At 49.1% G+C, this 17,189-nt stretch overlaps 1 protein-coding gene and 1 non-coding gene across 15 annotated transcripts, besides 6 other annotated features; both read right to left on the bottom strand.

Annotated features, from left to right (window-relative positions):
* Positions 1,475–2,159: an enhancer, noted in NCBI's record as "H3K4me1 hESC enhancer chr8:21894623-21895307 (GRCh37/hg19 assembly coordinates)". NCBI's record gives its function as "activates a minimal SCP1, AML or CMV promoter by ChIP-STARR-seq in naive H9 embryonic stem cells {active_cell/tissue: H9 hESC(naive)}" and the evidence as "EXISTENCE:reporter gene assay evidence [ECO:0000049][PMID:30033119]".
* Positions 2,159–2,453: a silencer, noted in NCBI's record as "tiled region #13343; K562 Repressive DNase matched - State 12:CtcfO". NCBI's record gives its function as "represses a minimal TATA promoter and a strong SV40 promoter by Sharpr-MPRA in K562 cells {active_cell/tissue: K562}" and the evidence as "EXISTENCE:reporter gene assay evidence [ECO:0000049][PMID:27701403]".
* Positions 2,159–2,844: a biological region, named in NCBI's record as "H3K4me1 hESC enhancer GRCh37_chr8:21893938-21894622".
* Positions 2,160–2,844: an enhancer, noted in NCBI's record as "H3K4me1 hESC enhancer chr8:21893938-21894622 (GRCh37/hg19 assembly coordinates)". NCBI's record gives its function as "activates a minimal SCP1, AML or CMV promoter by ChIP-STARR-seq in naive H9 embryonic stem cells {active_cell/tissue: H9 hESC(naive)}" and the evidence as "EXISTENCE:reporter gene assay evidence [ECO:0000049][PMID:30033119]".
* NPM2 (nucleophosmin/nucleoplasmin 2) lies at positions 2,374–15,137 on the bottom strand. 14 transcript variants are annotated; one of them, NR_182112.1, is made up of 10 exons: positions 14,648–15,137; positions 14,222–14,547; positions 13,965–14,055; positions 13,750–13,835; positions 13,499–13,624; positions 6,048–6,141; positions 4,996–5,162; positions 4,727–4,761; positions 2,745–2,913; positions 2,374–2,633 (listed from the first exon to the last, which is right to left on the bottom strand). NR_182112.1 is itself a non-coding variant. In NM_182795.2 (10 exons), the coding sequence occupies exons 3-10, from the start codon at positions 14,020–14,022 to the stop codon at positions 2,589–2,591; spliced, it is 645 nt and encodes a 214-aa protein (NP_877724.1). In that variant the 5' UTR covers positions 14,023–14,055; positions 14,222–14,547; positions 14,648–15,137; the 3' UTR covers positions 2,374–2,588. The 14 variants fall into 14 exon arrangements, 13 of the variants coding, with proteins under 13 accessions (NP_877724.1, NP_001273609.1, NP_001400045.1 ...); NM_182795.2 differs by having other exon boundaries at positions 2,745–2,778; NM_001286680.2 differs by having other exon boundaries at positions 2,745–2,778; positions 14,441–14,547.
* LOC124902091 (small nucleolar RNA U13) lies at positions 6,819–6,921 on the bottom strand. Its single transcript, XR_007061221.1, has one exon. It is a non-coding gene; the product is annotated as a small nucleolar RNA U13 (small nucleolar RNA).
* Positions 14,623–15,335: an enhancer, noted in NCBI's record as "H3K4me1 hESC enhancer chr8:21881447-21882159 (GRCh37/hg19 assembly coordinates)". NCBI's record gives its function as "activates a minimal SCP1, AML or CMV promoter by ChIP-STARR-seq in naive H9 embryonic stem cells {active_cell/tissue: H9 hESC(naive)}" and the evidence as "EXISTENCE:reporter gene assay evidence [ECO:0000049][PMID:30033119]".
* Positions 15,336–16,049: an enhancer, noted in NCBI's record as "H3K4me1 hESC enhancer chr8:21880733-21881446 (GRCh37/hg19 assembly coordinates)". NCBI's record gives its function as "activates a minimal SCP1, AML or CMV promoter by ChIP-STARR-seq in naive and primed H9 embryonic stem cells {active_cell/tissue: H9 hESC(naive and primed)}" and the evidence as "EXISTENCE:reporter gene assay evidence [ECO:0000049][PMID:30033119]".

Raw genomic sequence — 17,189 nt, 5'->3', positions numbered from 1 at the left:
TCAGTTTACACGACTTCATAAACTGTGCACCGGCTCATGCCTCCCTCCCATCAGCAGAGTGGTCAAAATCCAGGGCTCTGGGGTGGGACTCCCTGGCTCCTCTGCCAGCCGTGTCACCTTGGGGCAACTTGTCTAACCTCTCTGTGCCACACTTTCCTCATCTGGGAAATGGGGCTGGGCCAGGTGTGGTGGCTCACACCTGTAATCCCAGCACTTTGGGAGGCCGATAGAAGGATAGTGTGAGGTCAGGAGTTTGAGACTAGCCTGGGCCACATAGTGAGATCCCCATCTCTACAAAAATGTTAAAAAAAAATGAGCTGGGTATAGTGGTGCATGCCTGTAGTCCCAGCTACTTGAGGGGGCTGAAGCAGGAGGATAGGCGGAGCCCAGAGTTCGAGGCTGCAGTAAGCCATGATCGTGCCACTACACTCCAACCTGGCTGACAGAGTGTGACCCAGTATCTAAAAAAAAAATTAAAAAGAGAAAGAAATGGAGCCAGTCACAATCCCCTTAAGGCACGGTTATGAGGGTTGAAGGAGTGGGTCGTGGGTATTAGAAGCTGTCACTGCAGCCGATCCCCCTTCAAGTGGGGCTCTGCCTCGGACCCTTTGCATGCTCTGTTCCTGTTCCCAGGAACGTCCTCTGCCAGCTCCTAATGAAGCCCATTGAGCCCTTCTTGTCCGTTGCCTCCTCCAGGAGACCTTCTCACCAAACTGCTTCCTCCTGCCCCTCAAGTTCACCTGTTCCACTCCCTTCAAAGCACCAGACAGTAACTGAAATTGTGTTGGGTTTTGTTTCCACTAGACTGTAAGTGACTTGAAGGTGAGGAATTGGGTTACCCCGGGTCACTGTAGATGAAACCAAGTTCAAAAAGCACCAGCTGCTCACATGGAGCAGTCCCCCTTGTCACTCTCTGGGTGACCTGAAGTTAGTGGTTTGTCCCTTTGTTGGAGGGTGGGACTCTGGGTGACCTAAAGTTAGTGGCTTGTCTGTTGGAGGGCAGGACAGCACCCACATCTGTCTCATGGGTGTAGGAAACATGCAGGGAGAATGCCACCCTGGGTGGGTGCAGTGGCTGACGTCTGTAATCCCAGCATTTTGGGAGGCTGAGGCAGGAGGATCTCTTGAGCCCAGGAGTTGGAGACTGGCCTGGGCAACTTAACAAGACCCCCCATCTCTACAAAAAATTTTAAAATTTGTTTTGGTGTGGTGGCTCGTGCCTGTAGTTCCAGCACTTTGGGAGGTTGAGGTGGGAGGATTGCTTGAGTCCAGGAGGTCGAGGCTGCCGTGAGCTAAGACTGTGCCACTGCCCTCCAGCCTCGGTGACAGAGTGAGACCCGGTCTCTAAAAAAAATAAAAATTAAAAAAAAAATGAATACAACCCTGCCCTCTGCTACCTCTGTCTCTGGTCTCAAAAGAAGCTATAGCTGGACAGGAGGCCCCAGCCTGGTTGTTGACTTTCCTAGGCAGGTGTTCAAAGAGCTCCGACCTCCTGGGCCCCATACCTGGGGGTACTAAGCAGGACAGCAGGACCAGCTCCCCACTGGTTCACTTCGGGCCTGACCCCAGAGGGTGCTGGGGAGGGGCAGGGAGAAGCCAGCAGAGGCGCTGCATGGATAACCCAGAGTGTAGGGCTCATCTGTGTGTCCGCCTGTTCTAGGAACTGCGCCAGGGTCACCCACAGGTGAACAGCCCTCCAGAGTCCCCTCTGCACACCAGGGAGAGGGTGGGGGTCCCCCACCCCATTTTCCAGTCCTCTCTTGGCCTCGCCCCTATGCTTGACTGAGGCCTACTCGATAGCATGTGGGGCTTGGCGCCTCTGTAAAGCTCACCCTGTCTACTCCACCTCAAAGGTTTTTTTGAAGGTGCGGGCCTCTGGCTCCTGCCTGACACAGATCTTCACATGTGGGAGGTCCCTATAAGATGAGCTGGCCCCTAACGGAAGCAAGCAGGGAGAGCGGATGTCCCTGAGTTCCCTATAGATGCTCTGCACACAGTAGCTGCCTGACAGGAATAAGGTCAGGAGAAGACCCTGGGGGCTGGCCCCCTAGGGCGAGGCCCCTTCTGGTAGCTTGAGCAGCCGTAGCCCTTGGGTGCCTATAAACCTAGCTCTGCCCAGAGGGAGGGTGCAGGCTGGAAATCCACCTGACACACAGCTCAGCAGAAGGCAGACTCTAGGCTCTTCCCTCGCCACTGGGGGAGAATTGGGGGTGCCGAGGACGAGGGACACAGCAGGCTCAGGCCGCGGGGGCTGGGTGCAGGGAGGCAGGTATGACCTCAGGGCCCGGGTGCACCGGTTCAAGGCTGCCCTCTGCCGGGCACTGGGGCTGGTGCAGCGGACAAGGAGGCTGGCTCCAGGGAAGAGAAGGAAAGTCCTGACCAGGCAACTTTATTGTGACCCCGAGGTGGGGCTCTTCACTGGGGGCCTCCTGAAAGTGGAGAGTTGGGGGTGAGGGGCTCTCATGTTGCCCCCGCAACACCCCTGTTGCATTCAGACACAGGTGGAGGGGCTGGACAGGGGCACCCTGTGCCTGCAGCACAGCCCAGGGAAGGCCCACTTTGCACCGTGCCCCCCAAGGCGTGGCTCCTCATTTCTTGAATCCTGGCTTCTTGGCTCTGGCTGTGGCTTTGGCCTGTGGAGGGAAGGCAGGGCTCCAGGGTCCCGTTCCCTTCTCCATACCAGGCAGCCCCCTCCAGAGAATACTCGCCTGTCCCAAGGGCCAAAGCCCTCTGGTCCTACTCACCTTTTTCACAGGGCTCTTGTCTCTAACGCTGGCTCTGCAACAGGGTGGAGCGGAGCAGGAGTGGGATTGGGGTCAGGGAGAGAGCTCAGCTCCAGACCAGCGGCGTGGCCCTCCCAGTGCCCACCCTGGAAAGCAAGCCTGGCTGCTCCTCCTGGGGACCACTCGGACTCTTTAAACAAAGGGATGTGTGTGCGTGTGCATGCATACGCATATGTGTTTTCCTTAGGCTTCCATCTTCATTTAGTTATCACAAATGTCTTTTGTTTTGTTTTGTTTTTGAGATGGAGTCTGGTTCTGTTGCCCAGGCTGGAGTGCAGTGACACTATCACAGCTCACTGCAGCCTCGACCTCCTGGGCTCGAGTGATCCTCCTGCCTCAGCCTCCTGAGAAGCTGGGACTGCAGGTGTGCACCACCACACCTGGCCCACAAATGTCTTTTTCATTATAAAATATTAACCATTTTGTACAAAATATAGCAAATAGACAAGAAAATACATTACTTATAGTTTTCTTTACTGCCCACACTAAACATTTTGGTGTATTTTCTTTCAGGGTTATTATTTTTTTCTTGGTCAAACTTTTTTTTTTTTTTTTGAGATGGAGTCTTGCTCTGTTGCCCAGGCTGGTGTGCAGTGGTGTGATCTTGGTTCACTGCATCCTTCGCATTCCGGGTCTAAGTGATTCTCCTGCCTCAGCCTCCCGAGTAGCTGGGATTACAGGCACATGCCACCACGCCCAGCTGAATTTTGTATTTTAGTAGAGACAGGGTTTTGCTATGTTGGCAAGGCTGGTCTTGAACTCCTGACCTCAAGTGATCCTCCCACCTTGGCTTCCCAAAGTGCTGGGATTACAGGCGTGAGCCACCGTACCCGGCCTGGTCAAACTCTTTTTAAAAATATGTGAAATAAAATAAAAATGACTTTATGTCCTGCTGTATGAACTATCAATATTCTTATCAGGTGCAGAGGCTCACACTTGTAATTCCAGTGCTTTGGGAGGCTGAGGCAGGAGGATTGCTTGAGGTCAGGAGTTTGAGATCAGCCTGGGCAACATAGAAAGACCCTGTCTCTACACAAAACTTAAAAGTTAGCCATGCATAGTGGCACGTGCCTATAGTCCTAGCTACTTGGAAAGCTGAGGTGGGAGGATTGCTTGAGCCCAGGAAGCTAAGGCTGCAGTGAGCCATGATTGTGCCATCACACTCCAGCCTGGGTGGCAGAGCAAAACCCTGTCTCATTAAACAAACAAACCAAAACTATACACATACTTTCCAGGTTGCTATATTCTTCATAAGCATTATGTAATATTCCATTGAGAAGAGGGATGTAGCTTAGTGAATTGTTATATTGGTAGACATTTAGAATGCTTCCATTTTTTCACTATTCAAATAATGCCATAAGCGTCTTTTTAAAATTTTGTTTTTTCAGACTGAGTCTCGCTCTGTCATCCAGGCTGGAGCGCAGTGGCACGATCTCGGCTCACTGCAACTTTTCCCCGGGCTCAAGCAATTCTCATGCCTCAGCCTCCTGAGTAGCTGGGATTACAAGAATGCCACCAGGCTCGGTTAATTTTTGTGTTTTTAGTAGAGACAGGGTTTCATCATGTTGACCAGGCTAGTCTCGAGCTCCTGACCTCAAGTGATCTGCCTGCCTTAGCCTCCCAAAGTGCTGGGATTACAGGCGTGGGCCACCAAGCCTGGCCGTGAGAAGCATCTTAGTGCAGGTAATTTCCCCTGAAATTTGGATGGAATTCTGTGGAAGGAATTGCCTTCACTGGAATTAGATCCCAAGATAAGAACGTTGTAATGCTCTTCCAGAAAGGTGATGCCACCCTTCAGCACTTCCATACCCATGTGCCTGCGAGTGCAGGTAGACACACCGTGTGTACATTTGTACACGTACATCCCAACAGCACAGTATTCTTTCTAACACTGTATATCTCAGCTGGAGACTTTGGCTAATTTAATAGGTAGAAAGAGTTACCTTATTTCCTCTTCTTCTTTTTCCAGCTTTTTTTTCTGGGAACCAAAAAACAGTGTATTATGAGAGTTCAGACAAAGTCCAGAGCCAGAACAGATTCCCAAAGTCCACAAGGTCCCCGCTGAGCTCCTGGCCAGAACTAGCTGAGGTGGCCTTGGCCCATCCTGTACACTCATTCTGGGAGGCTGGCCCAGGCTCCCGGTGGCCCACCCCTCTTAAGTGCTTCTGTAGGGGTACCACTTCCTTCCAAACAGCCACGCTCCTTCCCCCACCTTAGCCACGCTCGCCTGCTTCTGGGGCACCAGCCTTTTGACTTGTTTGACAGGGCTTTGCTCCTCCAGAGATATATCTGCATCCTCATCCTCATCATCTTCCTCTTCCTCTTCCTCCTCCTCCCCTTCTTCTTCCTCCTCCTCCTCCCAGGTTAGGTCTGATGCTTCTGTAATAGCATGGGAAAGGATGCAGGGGCACAGCTTCAGAGCTACAGAATCAATGCCCACCTCCCATTCTGTGATCCGTGTTGCTCCAAGCACTGCCCTGGAGGAATCCTAGCCTGGAGTTGACAGTGGTTACCTGCCTGCCACCTGTACAGGGCGGCACCCTTTCTGGCCCTCCCAACAGTGGAGGCCAGGGTAGGGTAGGGGGTCTAGGAAAGCCCTGCAGAGGGCTGGGGTGGTAGAAAGAGGGCAGGGGAAGTGGCTCTGGCTGGGTAGGAGGGGGATTCATATTGGCAAGGGCTGGGGCCAAGGCTAAAGGTAGGCAGAGTAGGGGAGGAAGAGGAGGAGAGGGGGAAAGAATCTAAAACAAATAGCTAAAGAATTGAAACCTTATCCTAAGAGAAGTGGGACCTGCCAAGGCTTTTTAGCAGGAGAGTACCCTGATGAATGAGGCATAATCATACAGAAAAGAGGGCCAGTTGAAGGGACCTTGAAGGAGTCAGCATCATGCCGCGTTGCTATGGTCTGCGTTGCTATGGTCTGCGTTGCTATGGTCTGCATCACTGCAGCAGCCACATCCTGAACAGTGGTTCCCTAGTGCTGGGTATTACGCTGAGTGCTTTTCCTGAATATCCCATTTATTCTTCACAACTGCTCTTTGAAGTTTACAAGTGAGGGGCTGCAGCCTACAGAGGTCATGGCAGGTAAAGAAGAAGAACAGGGACCAGCGCCCTTGCCTTCCAGTCCAGGCTGCTGGCTGTCATGTTGCCTTTGGGGATTTTCTTCCAACATTCAAGAATCCCTCCAGTGTTTGAGTAGCTAGTATGTCCCGAGCCCCTGCCTAGCACGGTACTCACGGACCTTCCTGATCGCAGGCTCTGACTTACCATAACGTTCCTGGCCACTGAGGAACACGGGTCCTGAGCCAGCCCGGAGCTGGAAAGTAACTGGGGGAGAAAGCTGCACTCCTACCATGGAGACCTGCAGGGGGAGGAAGCAGAGAAGACAGGGCCACTTAGGCCTGGCACCTCTCGGGGACTAGCCTCAGGCAGAAATACTGAGTTGATTTCCCTCCCCAAACCCTACACACTACTCAGCCCCTGCTGAGGTGGATTCTGTCCAAGAATTTGAACCTGGTAATCCCATTCTTGCTAAGCTCACAGATGGGCTTCCAAGCTGAAGGGCAGCCGTCAGATAGAGGAATCTGATTAGTATGGGCTAAATTATGGCCATTCCCCCCATCCTCCAAATTCCTATGTTGAAGCCCTATCCTCCAGTGTGATAGTATTTAGAAATGCAGGCCTTGGGAGGTCATTAGGTTTGGGGTCATGAGGGCAGGACCCTCATGATAGAACTAGTACCTTTACAAAAAGAGACACTAGAGAACTCACTCTCTTTCTCTCCACTCTCCTGCCCCACACGTGAACACATAGCAAGAAGGCTGCCGTCTGCAACTCAGGGAGAGGACCCTTACCAGAACCCAACCATGCCGGCCCCCTGATCTCAGACCTCAAAGCCTCCAGAAGTGTGAGAAAACGTCTGTTGCTAAAGCCCTCCAGTCTGTGGTATTTTGTTATAGCAACTTGGGCAGACTGAGACACCGATCAAACGAGAAAGCAGATGCATGATTTTATGTACAGTGCTGCTTGCTTTCTTCACATCAGACAGGTGATGTGCCAACTCGTAACCAGGTTTGTGGGAGGCACACCTTACACACGAGCGTGAAACCCCAATCATCACACTTATAAATGACAAGAGCCTCTACAGTACTACTTTTGTCTTATGTATAATGTATGGATATACATAAGAATAAAGGTTTAAAATATATTAAAGTGCTAACCATAATTGTCAGTCGATAGTAAGGTATTTATTGTATTTATACTTTTCCAAACTTCCCAAATTTTCTCGAATGACAATGATAGCTTATTGTTTTGAGCTTCTGCCACGTGTCAGGCACCCTGCTAAGCATTTTATCTGCTTTATCTCATTAAATCCTCACAAGAAACCCATGATGTAAGTACTGATACTTTACAGAGGAGGAAACTGAGACTTAGAGTGAATAACTTACAGCTTCTAAACTCTAAGTTCAAACAGGAGGTAATAAGTGAAAACAAACTCTGCAGCCAGAGACACTTAGAAATGCCAGAGAGGATGTAATTCAGTGTTTCTACTGCATGGCTGAACAGTAAGACAGAAGAATCCTCGTACATAAAAAATGAAGAGAGGATGCCTTCTGATTAGTGATGAATGAAAAAAAGAAAAAAGAAATGAAGACAGGCAGGTGCAGGAGCTGGTGTGCTGCAACCGAGGGGAAATGGACCTGAAAACAGCCAGGACTTTTTGCTTCAAAACTCACACACAGGCCGAGCACGCACGGTGGCTCATGCCTGTAATCCAAGCACTTTGGGAGGCCAAGGCAGGCGGATAACTTGAGGTCAGGAGTTTGAGACCAGCCTGGGCAACATGGTGAAACCCTGTTTCTACTAAAAATACAAAAATTAGCCAGGTGTGATGGTGCACACCTGTAATCCCAGCTACTCAGGGGGCTGAGGCAGGAGAACTGCTTGAACCCAGGAAGCGGAGGCTGCAGTGAGCCGAGATTGCGCCACTGCGTGCCAGCCTGGGCGACAGAACAAGACTGTCTTTAAAAAACACAACAGAACAACAACAAAATCTTCACAGTCAGGAGACAAGGCCTTGGGCTCAGGCAAGGAGGAGAGTTGTAGCTGAGACCACCATGGGGAGGGTAGGACCCTCAAGGGCTATACCCTTAGTGAGAGGCCCAAGGTAAGTGTTGAGGATTAGAGACTCAAAAGCCCAAACCAGCCCTCTTCTCCTCAAAAATGAAAAACAAAAATCAAAACCCTAGCCACCATTAAAGGAAGCTAACAACAAAGCATGAATGGAAATAAAAGAAGTCTCCAGTGAGAGCCCATACCCCATAGCTGTACCTCTCACTTATGGGGTCTGAATTTACTCAGTGAGTACTGCCAAGCCAAGAAATGTACAGAAAATCCCAAGCTTATGATATTCCTGAGGTAAATGGCAGAAGCAAACACGAAACCACTCTGTTGGAACACTCCCCAAACTCAGGCCACATCGAATTCTTTTGGAAAAAAACAAAATAAACTAAAGATGAGCTCACCGTATAAAATTACAAAACATACAAGAAACAATCCAGCTAGAGTCAACAGAAAGAAATCAAGTGACTGCAGACTAGCCCGACCAAGAACTTAGAACACTGATCTAAAAAAATATCAGATAAAGCTGGGTGTGTTGGTGCACGCCTGTAGCCCAGGCTACTCGGGGGGGCTGAGGCCGGAAGATCGCTTGAACTCAGGAGTTCAAGGCTGCAGTGAGCTATGATTGCAACAATGCACTCCAGACTGGGCGACAGAGCAAGATCTTGTCTCTAAAATATGTATATACAGAAATATGTACATATATATATATATGTATATGTTTAAAACCAAGTAAATATAAAAGTAGGAATCATAATCATAAGAACAAGACATTATGAAAAGAAAAAGAACCAAATGCAGCTTTCTAGATATAAAACACCCAAAGCTGAGGATGGGCATGGTGGCTCACACCTATAATCCCAGCACTTTGAGAGGCTGAGGTGGGAGGAGTGCTTGAAGTCAGAAATTAGAAACCAGCCTGGATAACATAGTGAGACTCCAGCTCTACAAAAAAATAATAAACATTAGCTGGGCATGGTGGCTCATGCCTGTAGTCCCAGCTACTTAGGAGGCTGAGTGGGAGGATCACTTGAGCCCAGGAGTTTGAGGCTGCAGTGAGCCATGATCAGGCCACTGCACTCCAACCTAGGCAACAGAGCAAGACCTTGTCTTTAAAACAAAAATAAAAGAAAACCTGATCAAATGATTAAAAAGCAGAAAAAACCAGCAGAAGCAGAATTAGTATGATCAATAATGCTGTGAAGGAATTACCCAGTATAAGGCAGAGAGGGAGAGATTTAAAGAAACATTGGGGGAGCTAACACGGGGGACAGAGTGAGAAGGCCCAACATATATCTAATTGGAAAAGGGACTAGGGAGACTGGAAGACAGTCAATATTCAAAGGAAAAACAACCAATAATTTTCCAGAATTGATCAAAGACATAGATCCTCATGTCTGAAAACCTAAGTCCTGAACAGACAAAAAAAATAAATCTACACCTGAACACATCATGGTAAAACTATAGAAAATAAAAACAAAAGACATTATCTTAAAATAAGCCAGAGAGGAAAGACATCTCCAAAAAGGGAATAATCAGACAGATTGAGGACTTCAACAGCAACATTGGGAACCAGAATAGAACAGCTTCAAAGCTGAAGGAAACTCTCTATCTAGAATTATATACACAGCCAAACCATCATGAAGGAATGAGGGCAAAATCATGATATTTCCAGACAAAGCCTGAATAAGTTTACTATTCTCAGGCTTACTAAAGTATGTTGCTAAAAAGGATAAGAAATTAGATCAAGAAGGAAGAAGTGGGTGCTAGAAGCAGTGGTAACCAAACTAATTGGTAAACAAAGTAAACCTACATAAGAATTAACTGGAAAATACAATAGTACTAGTAATGAGTAGTGTTGAGTAGGCTGACAAGTTGGAGCTAGAACACTTGATAATAATATTGAAGTTAAAAAGATGAGAATCAGGCCAGGTGCGGTAGCTCACACCTATAATTCCAGCACTTTGGGAGGCCAAGGCAGGAGGATCACCTGAGCTCAGGAGTTCAAGACCAGCCTGGCCAACGTGGTGAATCCCTGTCTCTACTAAAAATACAAAAATTAGCTGGGCATGATGGTGCATACCTGTAATCCCAGCTACTTGGGAGGCTGAGGCAGGAGAATCACTTGAATCACCTGGGAAGCAGAGGTTGCAGTGAGTCAAGATTGCACCACTGCACTCTAGCCTGGGAAACAAAGTGAGACTCCATTTCGAAAATAAAAAAATAAAAAAAGGAGAATCAGAAAAGCTCCTTGGATTGTCTGGGAGGACATAAAACATTAATTCTAAACTTTGAGTAATGTATGATTGTTAAAAAAATTAAAGATAAACAGTAAAAAAATTAGAATGAGATTCTATAACTTCCAAACCAGTAGAGAAGGGGAAAAGGAACTTTAATTAATCTAATAAAATATAGGAAAAGGAGAAGAAAATAAAAAAGCAAGGAAAGTAGGGGTACAAAGTACATGCCACAAATCCAATTACATCAGCAATCACAATGAATACAGACTATACTGGCCAGATAGAACAAAATCTAGCTACATACTGTGTAAAAGATACATACCTGGAACATAAGACATAAAACACACCTGAAACAGAGAGGTTGCTGAGGCCAGAACACAAAGGCTTCGAAGCAGGCCATAATACACTCTCGGCTCTTATTCCAAATGAGAGAGAGCCATGACCTAACTATTCTAGCAGAGAAGCCACATGATCTAACCTGTGTTTAAAAGGATCTTTTTGGCTGGGCATAGTGGCTCACGCCTATAATCTCAGCACTTTGGGAGGCTGAGGCAGGTGGATCACTTGAAGTCAGAAGTTCAAGACCAGCCTGGCCAACATGGTGAAACCCCGTCTCTACTAAAAATTACAAAAAAAAAAAAAAATCAGCTGGGCATGGTGGGGAGCGCCTGTTGTCCCGGCTACTAAGGAGGTGGAGGTTGCAGTGAGCCGAGATTAAGCCACTGCATTCCAGCCCTGGTATCAAAGCAAGATTCTGTCTCAAAAAAAAAAAAAAAAAAAAAAAAAAATCTTTTTGGCAGCTGTGTGGAGCACAGACCAGGAAACTTTCTGTTAAGAGCCAGAAGGTAATATTTTAGGTTTGCAAACCATATGGTCTCCATGGAGACTACTCAAATCTGCTGTTAGGGAGGAAAAGCAGCCATGGACAGGGTACAAACGAATGAGTGTGGCTGTGTTCCCAGTAAAACTACTTACAAAACCAGGCAGCAGCCTAGATTCAAGCCCTCTAGTTTGCCTACCCTGGAATAGACTACAGGGGACCATGTGATGGTAGGTAGACCAGGTGGAAGGCTGTGCAATTAAAATGGAGCCACAGGCAACTGTCACCTGTACCAGGGGTAGCAGGGAAGATGATGAGATGTGGTCCATTGGGGTATAAGATGGGGGCAGAGACAACAGGACTGCTGGTAGATCAGATATGGGTGTGGGAAAAAAGAGGATTTGGCTGGGTGTGGTGGCTCATGCCTGTAAATCCAGCACTTTGGGAGGCCAAGGCGGGTATATCACCTGAGGTCAGGAGTTCGAGACCAGCCTGACCAACATGGCAAAAACCCATCTCTACTAAAATTACAAAAATTAGCCTGGCGTAGTGGAACATGCCTGTAATCCCAGCTACTTGGGAGGCTGAGATGGGAGAATCACTCGAACATGGGATGCGGAGGTTGCAGTGAGCCGAGAGCGCACCATTGCACTCCAGCCTGGGTGATAAGAGTGAAACTCCATCTCAGGGGAAAAAAAAAAAAAAAGAGCTTTGTCTTGGCTAACTGGAAAAACAGCTGTTTTCTGAGAGAAAATCAGGTTGAAGGGGAGGCGGGTGGATTAGAGATAAAAATTGAATATGTGGATTTAGACATGTTAAATTTGGGATATTTATTAGATATCTATCAAAGCCATTTAGTTGGATATAGGACTTGGAGCTCAAGAGAGGTTGAGTTTACAGAAATAAGTTCCTGAGTCTTCATTTGTTTAGATGGTCTTGAAAACCACAGGAAAGGATGAGATCGCCTGCAAAGTATGTGTAAATAGAACAGGAAAGTCTGAGGGCAGTTTGACAGAGGGGTCTCCCAAACCTCCAAGGACAGCTGATCCTAGTCTTCCATTCACTGTTCCAGGGAATAGGAGAGAACCCTCCACCCTCAGTGCATGAGGCTAGCATGTCCTGAACACCTAAATACTATCACTTATAGGCCAACCTCACATGTATACAGGTAAAAAAAAGGGCTCAATATATGAGTAAAACAAATCTAGAATTTGTAACATGACCAGTAGTATTTATCCCAGGATGGCAAAGGAACTCAGATATTATTATCTTCATATAATTTACCACGTGGACTAAAGAACCTAGAATCATATGAATAGAAAAGCATTTGGTAAAATTTAACCCCCTCTAGTGATTTCAAAGCAAAGCAATTTTTTAAAAGCAGAGGGTTTTAGATGGGGACTTCCTTAACCTGACAAAATGTACTTACCAAATGCTTCTTTTTTAAAAAACAAGAAGGAAATAAGGATGTCAGACCTGATCTCATGTTCACCCAATATTCCACTGCAGGGCCTAGCCAGTGCAGTAGGATTAAAAGAAAGAAAGAAAGAAAAAAGACCTGGCGTGGTGACTCACGCCTGTAATCCCAGCACTTCGGGAGGCCAAGGCGGGCGAATCACCTGAGGTCAGGAGTTCGAGACTAGCCTGGGCAACATTGTGAAACCCTGTCTCTACTAAAAATACAAAAATTAGCCAGGCATGGTGGTGCACACCTGTAATCCCAGCTACTCCGAAGGCTGAGGCACTAGAATTGCTTGAACCTGGGAGGCAGAAATTGCAGTGAGCTGAGATTGCACCACTGCACTCCAGCCTGGGTGACAGAGTGAAACTCCATCTCAAAAAAAAAAAAAAAAAAGGCAAGAACTGCCATTATTCACAATTATTATATGCATAGAAAACTTAAGTTATTAGAAACTAGAGAATTTCTGGATGCACAACCAATATGTAGATCGACCATGTTCCTGTCACTAGCAGTGAATGGTTTAAAGCAGCAGTCTCCAATCATTGTGGAACCAGGGAATGGTTTCCTGGAAGACAATTTTTGCATGGATGGGGTGGGAGTGGGGGGTGGTTTTGGGATGAAACTGCTCCACCTCAGATCAGGCATTCGATTCTCATAAGAAGCATGCAACCTAGACCCCTCGCACGCACAGCTTACCATAGGGTTCATGCTCCTCTGAGAATCTAATGCCGCTCTGATCTGACGGGAGGCAGGGCTCAGGGGTAATGCTGGCTAGCTGGCTGCTCACCTCCTGCTGTGCTGCCTGGTTCCTAACAGGACGAGTTCTGGTCCTTGACCCGGCAGTTGGGGACCCCTGGTTTAAAGTGTAATTTTTGCAGACAGCTTAACTGGCCCAAGGTCACACAGCTCTAGGAAGGGGTGAGCTGGGCTGGACCCCGGCTTTCTGCATGGGCTGTGCTACCTCCCTAGCATGGCTCATTTCTGTAGGGTGAATGCACCCTCGTGTGTGTCCATCCCCACCCAAGGGTGAGGGTGAGGCTGACAGCAGTCTTCCAGCCAGCAGGGAAATGCGCACCATGGGGAGGACTGAGGCCTGGAGTGAGGCAATGGTGACCGGCTGCATCTTCTTGTCCTCCTGGTTTGCTGGGGGCAGGATCTCCACGCGATGCATCTCCTCTTTGGCTTTCTCCCCCAAGCAAATCTGAGCGGGGTTGAAAATAGAGGCCCCTCATCACCCTGAGGGCCGACGGGAGAAATCCATAGCCCTCCGTTGGGACCAGAAAGTTCCCGGACACCATCTTCCTCCCCTCTTTTGGGAACACCTACCGTATGAAGCAACAGCCTGCAGCTCTGCTTCCCCTCCAGCTGGGGTCTGAAGGTCCAAGTCCGCCTCTCCTGACTGAGCTCGCAGCCTGCGGAGGAGAAAGGGAGGGAAGTGGGGCCCTCCATTCGTTCCCAAAGGAGGGGCTCACCTGCGCCCCAAGCTGCCGCGCACCGGAGGTGGGGCGTGTCTCTGGGAAGGAGCCTGAGTCCCCACTCACCCCAGAGCACGGTCGTCACTGCCTTTTCCTCCGTGCTACTGGCGCTACTGAGATTCATGGCTCCGGGCAGAGAAGCGGGCTGGCCGGGCAGCTGCAAGGAGGGCGCCCGCGTGAGGCCTTGCTCCCTGACCCTGACCCTCGACTGGAGGATGCCAGAGACCAGCAGGCATCGGCAGGTACTGAGGGGTCGCTCGCGGCTGGAGGGGACCTGCCACGGTCAAGGGCTCACCGGCAACTCCTGGAGGACGAGTACCCACCTCCTAGCGGGGTGCGCAGCCCGGGGCTCGACCGGGCGCGTACAGGACAGCGGGACTCACGGGAGAGGGAGCTGTCCACCGAGCTCAGGCTTGAAAGGCCGCGGGGAGGTCACCTGGCTGCGCTTGGGCCTGACTCAAAAGCCTCTGTGCACCTCCACCAGACGCAGAGAAAGGGGTGTGCGCGCGGCTTAGGTCCCAGCTCCCCCCACACAGCCTTACTGTCGCTGCTCCGCGCGGGGCCAGTCACGCCATCGGCGCTCCCGGAGCGCAGCGCAACCTCATCCCCTCTGGCCGGAAGGCGGCTGTCCAAGCCCGGGCTAAGAAGCCTGGGAAGGGGAAGGGCAGGTGTCCAATTAGTCGCAAAGAAGCCGCCTCCCTCTCCCCTTCCCTTCTCCCATTCTTTCCTCCTCTGCGCGGCAGAATCACCTGGAGGGCTGTTAAGGGGCGCATTGCCGCGCCCCACTCCACAGCTGCCCTTGGCGTCGGTCTGGGTGGGGCCGAGGGAATTTGTAGTTCTAACCAGTTCCCAGGTGAGGCTGATGATGCCGGCCCAGGACCTTTCGTGAGAAGCTGTCCCGGCCAATTGCGGACCCGCCGAGGCCTCCTGGCGCCCCCTCCCCAGCCCATGGAGAGGAAGCCTCAGCTCAGCTTAGGAAGGGAGGCCTGCAGCCGGCAGGAAGCTGCAGTTGGAAGCCCTCCTTCTTGTTCGTTGCCTTTCTTCCTTTCCTTTCCCCATGCCTTATACAGCATGGGCCTTTCCTAAGGCCCAGACAGCCCGTTCTTCCAGCCTACCGTGAGAGCGAGCGAGCCCTGTCTCCAGAACGGTGAGATCTCCCGCGGAGAGCCGCAGCGGGCAGGTGGGGTGGGGAGGTGAGCCGGGAGGCGAGGCGCCGCGGCAGGGGGCGGGGAGCACACTGAGGAGCACGGCTAGCGACGCTACAGGGCCAAGCACGTGACCAGCAGCTGGTCCCAGGCTCAGTGGGCAGTGAAGAGGAAGTGGGGTTTCAGCGGATATACCCTGGAGACACCTCAGATAACCAGGGATCTCCCGCACACCCCTGGGACAGGGGCTCATTGCCACGGAGAGGTCAGAATCTTTTATTCCTGGAAGCTGGGGTCAGCCTCCCTGTGAATTGGCCAGGACAACCCAGGAGAGGCTTGGGGGCCTGCCAGGGCCCCCTAGGCTCCCTATCCCCAGCTGAGCAGTTCCAGTCTCCTTGGCTGTCCCTGAGCTCTCTGTCCCTGGCAAGGCGCCTATTGAAGGTGACAGCCATTGCAGCCAAGTGTGTGGTAAAGATGAGCAAATGGCAGGCACATGCATGCCATGCACAGACGTTCAAGAATTCACTCAACAAACGGTGATTCCGCCAATTGGGCGGGACCTGGGCATCCCGCGGTGAATACGACAGCCCCTCAAAGGGCTTCCAGCCTCATTGGAGAGCAGTGCTCAAAGCAAACCGGCCTTCAGTGGCCCCAGGCTACCCACCCCGTGAATAATCACACTGATGTCAGGCTGCAGCTGGGGGTCACAGTGAAGGCTAAATGGAGGCAGGGGAGGGGGATGACCCTGAGGTCATGACCTAGAGCTGGGACACTGGAACTGGACAGTCTGGGTTCAAGTCTGGACTGTGCTCTGTGATTTCAGGTGTGTTAATTCATAGCTCAGTGCCTCAGTTTCCTCATCTGCTAAATGAGGCTATAATATTGGTACCATCGTCATTAACTTTTTAAACTGATACATATTAATTGTACATATTTATGGGGTACATATGATATTTTTATACTTGCACACAATGTGTAATGAGCAAATCAGGGTAACTGGGGTACCTTCAACATTATTTCTTTTCTTTTTTTTTTTTTTTTGGAGATGGCGTTTCACTCTCATCACCCAGGCTGGAGTGCGGTGGTGCCATCTCAGCTCACTATAACCTCTGCCTCCCATGTTCAAGCGATTCTCCTGCCTCAGCCTCCCAAGTAGCTGGGTTTATAGGTGCTTACCACCATGCCCAGCTAATTTTCATATTTTTACTAGAGATGGGGTTTCACCATGTTGGCCAGGTTGGTCTCGAACTCCTGACCTCAGTGATCCTCCTGCCTAGGCCTCCCAAAGTGCTGGGATTACAGGCATGAGCCACTGGGCCCGGCTAAACATTTATCATTTCTTTGTGTTGGAAACATTTCAAATCTTCTCTTCTAGCTATTTTGAAATATACAATAAATTATTGTTAACTATAGTCACCCTACTGTACTATCAACTTATTTCTTATTTCAACTTATCTTATTTCCATCAAACAGTATGTTTGTACCCATTAATCAACCTCTGTTCATCCTCCCCCCACCCCCACTTCCCAGCCTCTAGTAACCATCATTCTACTCTCTACTCCCATTAATTCTACTTTTTTTTTTTTTTTTTTTTTTTTTTTTTTTTTTTTTTTAGCTCTCACATGAGTGAGAACATGTGAAATTTGTCTTTTTGTGTCTGGCTTGTTTCACATAACATAATGACCTCCAGTTCCACCCATATTGCTGCAAATGACAGGGCTTCCATATTTTTTTTATGGCTGGATATATTCCATTGTGTATAGGTACCACATTTTCTTTTTCCATTCACCTGTTGATGGACACTTAGGTTGATTCCATATCTTGGCTCTTGGAATAGTGCTGCAGTAAACAAGGGCGTGCAGATATCCCTCCTTTCATTTGGATACTGATTTCCATTACGGAGAGAAGTAAGGAGATTTCTCAAAAAACTAAAAATAGGACTACCATATGATCCAGCAATCCCACTCCTGGATTATTTATCCAAAGGAAAGGAAATCAGGTACCGATTCCCTAGGAATCAGGATTTCTAGGGTTATTTATCCCAGTAGTGGAACTGTTTGAATCATGTGATAGTTCAATTTTTAGTTTTTTGAGAAACCTCCATACTACTTTCCATAATGGCTGTATTAACTTAATTCCCAACAAC

Source organism: Homo sapiens, chromosome 8 (genome assembly GCF_000001405.40).
Source record: "Homo sapiens chromosome 8, GRCh38.p14 Primary Assembly".
Classification (NCBI taxonomy): domain Eukaryota; kingdom Metazoa; phylum Chordata; class Mammalia; order Primates; family Hominidae; genus Homo; species Homo sapiens.
Note: the sequence above shows the minus strand (reverse complement) of the source record. Positions and strands in the feature narration are given on the sequence as shown.